Source organism: Homo sapiens, chromosome 6, assembly GCF_000001405.40.
Source record: "Homo sapiens chromosome 6, GRCh38.p14 Primary Assembly".
In the NCBI taxonomy this organism is placed as follows: Eukaryota; Metazoa; Chordata; class Mammalia; order Primates; family Hominidae; genus Homo; species Homo sapiens.
Genome location: NC_000006.12, coordinates 127,564,081 through 127,576,062, shown reverse-complemented (window position 1 = coordinate 127,576,062; position 11,982 = coordinate 127,564,081).

Below are 11,982 nucleotides of genomic sequence, written 5' to 3'. Positions count from 1 at the left end.
CCTACAGCATGATTCCACTCTTTTTTCCTGTCATATTATTTACCCAATAGCCATTTGATAATTAATAAATTTTCCAGATATATTAATATAAAAGGGAATGGTAGGAATTGCTACTATAGATCAAGAATGCAATCATTCTGGAAATTTTAAAAGTATATTAAATGTTTATAAGAATATATACGTGAATATGTACTGTAAGATGTGTTACTCTAAAACCAAATGCCAGATTGTTCTCAATGGAGAAATCTTAAGAGCACTCCTTTAAGGTCAGAAATAAAATAAAAATGACCACCAGCATTATAATCATTTAACTTTTCTTTGAGGATACCAAACAATAAAGTTAGTAAAGATAAATAAATTAGAGGTATAAAATTGAGAATGAAGATGTGCTAGTACTTTCCCTTATAGATGATATGACAGTGTTCAGAAAACATAAGAGAATAAACTAGAAGGGTAACTACAAAGAAAAAATTTACTAAAGTGGTTAAGAACTAAATTACTATATATAAATCAATAGCTTTTATATATAAAAGCAATTGGGAAATATAATAGGTGAAAATGGAAGAAAAGTCCTCATTTTATTGTCAACAAAAGGGCCAACATATAAATGTATAATTATGGTAGATCTGTTTGGAAAAATCTCTAAGACTACAAAAAAATTGAACAGTTTTAAAGTCATACAATGTTTCTCAATAGACTCAACATTATCAACATGTTAATTTATAAATTTGTACAATAAATGAGAAATATTAACAGGATTTTTAGATGTGCTTTCTGGAAAGATTTTTAGGACTGAGGCTAAAATTTGCCTAAAAAATAAATTATGAAGAAAATACAAAAACTCTAATAATAATGGATAATAATAGTGAAAGGAAACTTTCCATAACAGATATTAGAAGATTATTATAAGCCCTCAAAAATTAAAGTAACACACCACAGTCATTGATGTAATAGTGTGACCAGTTACAGGTTAAATAAAACAGAAATATTGAACTATATTAGAGAAAGATTTTAAATGAAGACCAAAATACAAATGAGAATTTAAAGAGGAGCTATACTGGAACTAGATCTAGACATTGCTTCTATGTCCACTAGTGGAGTAGTTATTGGAATCCCATATACAGTGGGAAAAAAGTAAGAGCACATCTTGATGGAAAGATATTTGTTAAGGATATAAAAGAAATAATGTCAATAGTAGAATCTGGATCTTCTCATGCAAAAATTATTAATAGAAGAGGAAATAAGTTAGACGCTTACAAATAAACCTCAAATGAACATCAAACATATCACGGCATGCACTGATAGTTACATAACGTGATATTCACTCTTCTCTTATTTCTTTGTAAGAACACCCTTAATCCTTAGCACAACAGAGTCTTCCTGGAATAGAGATTATATTATTTAGTCTCACTGCTAGATGTAGCTACTTGATAAAGCTGTGGCCAAATTGTTAAGTTGCAGCTTTCAAGGAATCTCCTTTATACCTTGTCCTTTATTCTTTGTTATTTCTTCCTCTGCTGGCTGGAATGTAAATGTAACTAGAGACTGATGCTGTCTTAGATTATGAAGGAGCAAGAAAAGGTAGGAGAACAATAAAATAGAAGACTTTTGGTTTCTAGTCTCTACAGCTCTAGATTGTCTACTTCTGATTGCTGTCTCTATGAAAGAAATAAAATTTTAACTTAAGGCAATTTTTTTTTATGGATTTGTACTGCTTGGAGAACCTAATCTGAACAGACATTCTAATTTTGTCTTTCAACATTTCTGTGCCCATTTTTTCTTAACTATAAAGTAGAAATAGTTTTACTGCTCCTAAATCCACTAATTATAACTTCTTTTCAAGGTAAGTTTGTGATATTTGAAAAGATAATTAGTATTAGATACTGGATAGACAATTATATGTTTGAGTCACACACATACAATTACTCAAACTTGAAAAGATCAATGTGAAATAAATATTAGTATCCTAATTTACCAATAATAAAACTAAGACTTATCAGGGTTAAGGACTTACCCAAAATCACATACAGGTCCCAGATGAGAAAGCCTAATTTTGATCCCAGGCCTGCCTGATGTCAAAGCCAGGGCACTTGTAGGCTATGTTGTATTGTGCCACAAAATAATGATGCAAATAATATTACAGGGAAATTTTAACTTAATTAAGAGAAGAAATTGTGTTCAAAAAAATCTGCATTTTATGGCACTTGAAGCTATTTTATTCATTTTCCTAGAATGCTGATTGCAAGTGTATATTTAGATGGCCTTGTTGAGGCAACTGTCAGGAGATTGAAGACAGGGGATCTGTAATGTCAACTTAAGCTTGTTACTAGCAATGTGAATTTGAGGACCCTAAATTTACTCCTCTACAAAAAGAGAATAGTAAAACCATTATTTCTTATTACACAGAGGAATGGGAAAAACCTAAATAAGAAGATGTAGGCAAAAGGAGTAAAAGAGTACAAAACTATGTAAACATTTTTAAAGCCTTTCATTAAAATTAAACAACCACTCTGGAATATGTTTGATCCATTTCTATATTCTTTTTAATATGCACCTTGACTTATCAATGATTTGGTTATATTATTGAATTAGTTCAGTGCAGTCATCATCCTGTTCCTTTTCCCATCCTCAATAACAGTAGAAAAGCTTAGATTCTTTTGTTTGCAAAACACACAGCTCATGGCCACACATGTAGAGTGGTAAGAATCAAAAACTTTTTAAAAAATTGACAAAAAGAAAAGCTATGGTTAACTTTCCTAACATAAAAACAATTCTTGGCAAATATTCCAAAATACTTAACTGGCTGACACTTAAGAAGAAGTATTATCTTACAGTTAATTTGGGGAGTTATATTACCTGTATTTATACAAACATTTTAGTATATTAGAGTAATTATATTTTTCCTGATTAAATATCCTATGGGTATACTGTTTTCTCTGAAAGTGGTTCCTATTTACTCCAGTGTAAAAGGATTTTCACGCTTTTCCTTATGATGAAATATTGAGAATGAAAGCAAAAAAGAAACCACCAAGATGACATCTTCCTTGGAACAAGGATATGAATGTATTTGAAAATCACAGACTATGAAGCATATTTATCAGATAATATAAAATATGCTACACATGAAGACAAAGATATTTACTGAATTCCTTGATGTAATACAGGTTATGCATTACCTTTTTGTCAGGTCTAGAGTCACAACATGGAATATAACTAGATAAGTGATTTTAAAATATTGTACTAGAGATATGATTTAAAATCTTCATTGAAAGATAAATCAGGCCAACGTGTTACTCTGATTATCTGTAATTTTTCCCCTTTGAGAGAGGACACTGTCAGATGTGCAACTTGGTAAAGGAGGGAAAAGAAGGGGAAGTCACCAGATAATACAACTAAGAGCTGATGAGATGAGGGGTTTTACTGTGTGCTGCCCCAAACACCTGGATCCTGATAATTACCCAGAAAAAATTCAAAATATATTGATTCAGACAGTTAAGGAGAGACATGATTGTGGAAAAAGTAAGTACAGATTTGATAGAGATTTATTAAGGCAACTGTGTTTATATCAACGCTGTAGGCTTTACTAGTTCATTCTTCCTGTGTCCTTTCTTCAGATATTCCTAAACTGACCCCATTCAAGATAACCATAATCTTAGCAAGCAATGATACGTCATAATAGAAATTGGAAAATATATATGAATAAAATGAAAAAATATCCTTAAAAGATATTTTGGGGGAAAATGGGGAAATAAGACAATCAAAATACAAACAATTTATATCACAAGAGAAACTGTACTAGAAGACAGAAAAAGAGTTCAGACACAATGAGATCACAGGGGCACAGGGAGGAGAACATCACACACCAGGGCCTGTCGGCGGGTAGAGGGCTAGGGGAGGGATAGCATTAGGAAGAATACCTAATGTAGATGACAGGCCGATGGGTGCAGCAAACCACCATGGCCCATGTATACCTATGTAACAAACCTGCACATTCTGCACAGAATGTATCCCAGAACTTAAAGTATAACAAAAAATAAATAATAAATAAAAATTAATAAAAAAGAAAAAGAGTTCAGACAATAATTACCTATCATCTCAGAAATTATGAACAATAAAAATCACTAAGATGAAGTGTTCCAAAACAGTGATATAAGCTCTTGAAAAACTTGAAACTATCAGAAACGATGATAAATAGACTTGAAGGGCTCTAGAGATGAAGAGAATATAAAATAGTTACAGGAAACAACAAAAGTGGCAATTATAAATGATATAAATAATGTCAGGTACTTAATATTCTATCCTGAAGAAATCACTCAAAATGAAATAGAAAAGGATAAATACTGGAAATAGACATGACAATTATTTAAAAGTTTATACACATAGGGAAAGAAGAGGACCAATACACATAATTTTTCTTTCCTATCTGAAGAAGAGAGTAAAAAAAATGTTGAATAAAAAAATGCAAGGAAGATTTCCTGAAATAAAGAACTTCTTGACTTGGCAGCAAAAAAAAAGAAAAAGAAAAAGAAAAAAAAAGATGCTGAATAGCCTGCACTGAACCATATCCTGGTGACATTACTGAACATAATAGATGAAGACAGAGTAAATGGAATTCAGGCAAAGTAAACAAGTCACATACAAAGACAGAATAAACAGGGTCATTCATATTTTGCCACAGCAATACTCAATACTAAAAGATAGAGTAATTTCTGCAGAGACCATTGAGAAAACAAGTATCTCCTATGAGTTTTATTATAATAGCAATCCCCAAAATTTCTCTGGAAAATTATGTCACATTGAAAGGATTATGAGTAAGAAATCCACTGAACTCTTCAGATAAAGCACTGGGAGGTAGAAGAAAATGAAGCAATACTTACAAAATCCTGAGGAGCTAGAACTAGCTAGCTAGAACTAGAATTGAATATCCAGCCAAACTGCCAGGTGTGGGGCTAAAATAGAAATATTTCTGATATGCAAGATCTCAAAAAATGTTCTTCCTCTTAAACTTTCACTGGAAACTCCTGGAATATAAGTTCTACCAAATAAACAGGCAAACCAAGAAAGGGTAAAACACTGAGTTTGAGAAACAGGAAATGTGAAACAGAAAAGAGGGGAATTCCCATGATATTCATAAAGGGAAGATTGAGATGGAGAGAGCAATCATATTATGAATCATGAGGATGGGGGATTCAAGAAAGAGCACTTTCAAAAATATTAAATAAAACATACATTACCTGATGACTTTGACGATACTGGAAAAAGTTTTAGAGCTCTATAAAAGTTAGTGATTTGTGTTCAGTACAGAGAAAACTAAAAAAAAGAGAAATTAAGCAATTATTAACTTAAGGAAGAAGAAAAAGTTTGCATGAGAAAGAAATAGGATTATGCTGTGTAGGTCCGGTGCCAATAATATTTACATAACCATAATAATTAAACAATAGATATTTATTTCACCACAAATTTTAGTTAACAATTCTAGGAATATAGGATAAAAAGAAATGTGTGAGTGTAGTGTGTAGTGAAAGAGTGTTAAATCTTTCATAGTATGAAATTCAGAGATAGCATCTAAAGAACAAATAAAATATTGATACAAGAAAACCATTAAGAAATGTAAGTGTATATGTTTATGTATATGTATATACATACACACATGCATATATCTATATTACTTAAACTGAAAATATAATTAATTTAATAAAAAATTTGGCTCTGAAAATGAGACAAGCAAGAAAGTAGCTGCTAAGGATATAGGATGAAGAATTTGTTCACATTTTAAATAAGGCATTTAAAAATATTTAAATATTTTTTAAAAGAAGACAATACCCTACATTTTTTCACATCCTCAGTAAAAATACAAACATGCCAATATCTTAAACATTCAACTTTAAAAATAAGAAATTCTCTCTTACGTATACTTAAACCTAGAGCTGTTTACCCTATGTCCTTGCCCTCCAAATGTGTTTTACTGCTCCACTTTGCAGCAAAATTCCTGAAAAAAAGTTGTATACACTTGTTGTCTCTAAATATTCCTGATGCCATTTTTCCTTAAACCCCAATCCTTTCAGGCTCTAACATCCACCCACAGATGTATGAATGTCAACAAATGTATACACAAGGATTTGATTATAATATTGCCCTTGGAATTAAGTGTAAACTCATTCAGCAGAGAAAGAAAGATGTGAGAGACGGTGAGGGAAATAAATCAGTAGGTGGTTCCTATTATGTTAAGTCCTTGCAAGACTGGACTATAAGCAAGAATGATCCATAAAGAGAGGAGATGGGCCAGGCGCGGTGGCTCACGCCTGTAGTCCCAGCACTTTGGGAGGCCGAGGTGGGCGGATCATGAGGTCAGGAGATCTAGACCATCCTGGCTAACACGGTGAAACCCAGTCTCTACTAAAAATACAAAAAAATTAGCCGGGCGTGGTGGCCAGCCCCTGTACTCCCAGCTACTCCGGGGGCTGAGGCAGGAGAAGGGCATGAACCCGGGAGGCCGAGCTTGCAGAGAGCCGAAATCCCGCCACTGCACTCCAGCCTGGGTGACAGAGCGAGACTCGGTCTCAAAAAAAAAAAAATGTTATTTGTGGTACTTGTATTGAGTAGTGTTACTTAATAATGGTTACCAAATGCTAACCATCTCTAATCCACATAGGATGTTAATATACCTAGAATTAAATTAATTGAAATCTTTTTAATTTTCTTAATTATATTTTTTATTGTTTGACTCTCAATAGATATTTAAACCATTTTCTGCTACAATTTTATTTGTTTTGTCTTCTATTGAATTCATTATATCTTCTATCCCTCAATCTATCACAATTTTCTTAAATTTACCTCAGAGAAAAATTATGCTTTTTTTTTTACAAGTATGCAATAATTATACCATAGAATTCTGCTGACACTGAAACAGAAGTGGCCTAGGGATTATTTAAAAGCATTGCTATAATCTTTTCGTACATCAATTGGTTTACTACATCTTAGACTGAAGCCTTAAAAGGGAGTCTCTTATATTAATTATAATCTGTATGATACAGTTGAATAATTTAAGAAAAAAATCCCATAGTGATGCAATCTTTCAACAAAGGGCAATATTTTAGCCAGGTAAAATCCACCGTAAATATATCTCTTATGCAAAAATCAATTATTGTTAATATACTTTGACCACCACCATCTAGCCTTAGTTTCAGGCCTACTTCTCTCACCACTACTGCCTTAAAACCCCCACCTCATCCACAACATTCCTTGAAATACTTTCTCCTCTAGGCATTTCTCTTAACTTTATTTTTTCAGTTTCCAGTGCTCTTTATTTCTTTGTGTAGATTAGGTTTCTGCCTGGTATCGTATTTCTCCCACTTGAAGAATTACCTTTAATATTTCTTTTAGTGTAGCTCTGCTGGCAATGAATTCACTCAGTACTTGTTTGCCTGAAAAAAATATGTCCCCTTAATTTTTATTACAGGTATCTTCTCTAGATACAGAATTCTGGGATTCATAGGATTCTGTTCATTTTCTTTGTCATTTCAGCATTTTAATGGTGTCATTTCATGGTCTTCTGGATTTCATAGTCTCTGGTGAGAAGTCAGCTATACTCTTTACCTTCCTTCCACTGTAGGTAAGGTAATGTGTCTTTTTTTTCCTTCTCTCTGGTTTTATTTTTTTTGTTTGTTTTGTTGTTTTTTTTTTCAGATGGAGTCTCGCTCTGTCGCCCAGGCTGGAGTGCAGTGGCGCAGTCTCGGCTCACTGCAAGCTCCGTCTCCTGGGTTCATGCCGGGTTCCTGCCATTCTTCTGCCTCAGCCTCCCGAGTAGCTGGGACTGCAGGCGCCCGCCACCATGCCCAGCTAATTTTTTGTATTTTTAGTAGAGACGGGGTTTCACCATGTTAGCCAGGGTGGTCTTGATCTCCTGACCTCATGATCCACCCACCTCAGCCTCCCAAAGTGCTGGGTTTATAGGCGTGAGCCACTGGGCCTGGCCCCTTCTCTCTACTTTTAGGATTTTCCCTGTCTTTTGCTTTCAGCAGCTTGAATATAATAACCATATCATCTTTATATATACATCTTGTTTAGTGTTCTCTGAGCTTCAGGACTTGTGATTTCATATCTGTTATTAATTTTGGAAAACTCTTAGCCATTATTTCTTCCAAAATTCTCCTGCCCCATTCTTTTATCTCTGTTATGTTTTTTATTTCTACTGTTAAAAGAAAAACTTTTGACAAATTAAATTTAGCAGAATTTATTTGAGCAAAGTATGAATCAGGCAGCACTCAGAACCAGGAGAGGTTCAGAGAGCTTCACTCAGCAACTTGGGCAGGTAATATTTACAGACAGAAAAAGGATGTGACGTACAGAAACAGCTTGATTGATTCCAGCTCAGCATTTGCCTTATTTGGGCATGTCTGATCAGTTGACAGCCTATAATTGGCTGAATTTTGGCTGTGATGATTGGCTGAGACTCAGCTACTTGTTAAAAGAATATACTCAAATTATGTTGCAGTTCGCATATACTGAGTTAGGTTGCAGTTTACTACAGAGAAATTCAAAGTACAGAGGTAATTTTAGAAGAAATCCATTTAGTTTAATACTACTCTTTATTTATCTTTGCATTTCATATTTGGTAATTTCTAGTGAACTATTTTTAAGTTCAATGACATTTTTGCCTCATCTGTGTTGAGTTTATGAATGAGCCAGTCATAGGCATTTTTTATCTCTGCTACTGTGCTTTAGATTGCTAGCATTTCTATTTAATTTCTTATAATTTCTCTCACTTTGCTGAAACTACCCATATGATCTTGTGTGTTGACCTCCTTTTCAAATGGAGCCTTTAGCATAATAAATTTAAATTCTTATGTCATATTTTGAGTCTAGTGCTAATTCATTTGTGTCTTGGGAATATGTTTCCTAGGCTTTTCATATACTTCCTAATTTTTTGTTGAACATCTACACCTTGTGTAGATAATAGAAAATGAGATAAATAGATTTTTGCTTGGATCCAGGCATATCTTTCCTTCTGTTAGATCTTTCTTTAGCACAAGGGTTTTGTGTTAATCTAATTGAGCTGGATATGAGAATTTTTGTTTCTGTGGTTATACTCTGTGAACCACAGGCCTCAAATTCCTCTCCTGGAGCTGGTTTACCAGAGAATTTTTCTTAATATCTTCTCCTTGTTCAGGCTTAGACTTTCCCACTGTGATGAAATTCAGAAATTACATCTCTTGTAGCTTGCCAGCACTATTTCATGTTTACCTTTACTGGACACTTGTTAGCCTGCTGAAGTGGAATATAGGAGTCATAGCACAAAACTCCATTAGGACCCTTTATCTCCTATTCCCAACAATTCTACAGATTCCTTTTTCCCTCATAGTGGGAATAGGGCAGGAATTCACTCTGTCAACCAGGGTGGAGTGCAGTGGTGTGATCTCAGCTCACTGGAACCTCTACTTCCCAGGCTCAAGCAATCCTCTTGCCTCAGCCTCCCAAGTAGGGAGGCACTACAGGCATGCCACCATGCCTGGCTAATATTTGGGTTTGTTTGTTTGTTTGTTTGTAGGGCAGGCTTTCACCATGTTGCCCAGGCTGGTCTCAAACTCCTAGGCTCAAGAGATCCACCCAATGCCTTGGCCTCCCACAGTGCTGGGATTACAGGTAGCATGAGCAACACACAAGGCCCCAGTATTTTTCACTAGTGAAGTTCATGTGAGGTGAAAGGAAAGAGGAAACAGGAAGATTGCTCCCTGGTGTTTGGATTGGCATAAGACTTACCTGATGTCAATTTAATTTCCACATTCACTATATATGCCTAATGGTAGGGGTGAGGTATAACTCTTCCTTGATTTGCTTTTCAGTGGCAGCTATCTCCCCCTTTCCTTTTGAACTTATGTCTTTTGATAACTTAAGTGTTTTCTTTCCTCAGAATTCAATACAACCTGTCTTTGTACAAAGGTAGATTAATATTTATTGTTCCTTTTCATGTGTTGTTAGTTCTAAGTTTCCAGTTCATTTAGTTGATATCTTGAGAAACACATACAATGATATCTTACCTGCCCTTTATTGTTCAAACAAAAATTGTTTCCAAAGTCCTCATGTTCTTTTCCTGAATCATAATCAACAGCTAGAGGCATACCATTCTGTCAGCAAAAATGATTTTTTTTCCAAATTTTCAATAAAATGGTAGTATCAAACATTCTCAATCACATATGACTTCTTTCAAATACCTGAACTTGGAGTCCCTTAGACTCACCTTTTCTTTGCTACACTGAAAATTTGTTGAGCTTCTTTAGTTGTGTCCTCTGCTCCATTTTAATTAATGGACAAATAGAGTCCTCATTGTCTTCGCAGATATTTTATCTATTTACATCTCTTTGACTTAACTCACAGTTATTATGCCTTTTCCTTGACGCACTGTCTTCCCCAGTAGGTAGCTCCTGGGCATGCTCATTCACTTACAGCTCATAAATCATGGGGCAGATTTAACAAGAAGCAAACTACTCCCATTAAATGCCCTATTCACACCATGTTATATCGCCATCACGCTATTGACTTTCACTCTACTCTTCTGGTGACTGCCAGGGATTTGTAATAATACTTTCCCTAGATTAAGTAAACAATTTGATACCTCACTCTCTAGTTTTTATTCATATCTTCTACAACTAATTATATTAAGAGAATCAAAACTAGTTCTCAAAATTACTCAGGTAGCAATAGGAACATTGTCGGTGATGGTTTTGAAATTTGCTCTCTACTGATAATGTGGATCCATAATCTTGTATGAGTAAGATCACTGTGGTAGATGCAAAGTAGCCACAAATTATTTGCAGCTCCACTCATGATAAATAACACTCATTTCTCTGCTTCTTCAGTTATAATAATTTGTGATTTGTTTTCATCAATAAAATGTGGTAAAAGTGATGTTGAGTAACTTTCAAGCCTAAGATTGAGAGGCCTTACAGTTTCTGCTCTCGCCCTCTTAGAATACAGACGCCAAGTGAACAAACTCCAGTTTGTTGAGGAAGCATTACTAGAAAACCAAGTGACAGCCAGACAACCAGAAAACATGAGACCATCCTAGGCCATCCAGCTTCAGTCTAGTCATCACGTGACTAAAGCTACATGAGTGAGCCCAGATGTAACCAATAAACCTGTCCATCTGAGTCCAATCCAAATTGCTGACCCACAGACTGCAAGCTCATAAATGTGTTTACAGGACACAAAATTTGGGGGTAGTTTGCAACAGTGGTAAATAACTCACACAAACAGCAAGGGAGTTTGAAAATCAGAAGCTTTTTAGATTTTAAAAATGTAATACAAGAATTATGTAACACCCTGAGCAGAGGCTGAAATAGGATCCTGTAATCAAACACATGAAAGTTTCTGCAATGAAATGTATGAACAGTAACACTTAAGGAGCTAAAGACTATAAATCATTATGATTTGTTTATGTAATACTGAGCTGATAAAAAAAAAGTTGTAGTCTTTTTAACTTCATTTCATGAAGAATAAAATTTGAAATTTGAAATAATCAATTAGGTCTATAGCTTATCTGAAATACATTTTGTTATCCATCATAAAAATTACATGCAAATCTCCCTTTACAACATTCACTAATTCACATGGTGGTACTGTGTATTACTCTATTATAATGGTGACAGCTGAGTAGACACTATGATTTTTATAGAATAGTGAATAGAAATTTAAGAAATTTTATTTGCTATGTCACAGATCTTTAGAGCTTATTTATTTTGCATACCTGAAACTTTGTACACTTTTACTATTATATTCCCATTTCCCTTTTCCCTCAGCCCCTGGCAAACACCATTCTACCCTCTGCTTCTGTGAGTTCAACATTATAAGATTCCATATTAAGTGAGATCATACAGTATTTGTCTTTCTGTGTCTGGCTTATTTTACTTAGCATAAAGTCCTCCAGGTTCATTCGTGTTGTCGCAAATGGCAGGATTTTCCTCAGTTTTTAAGGCTGAATAATAT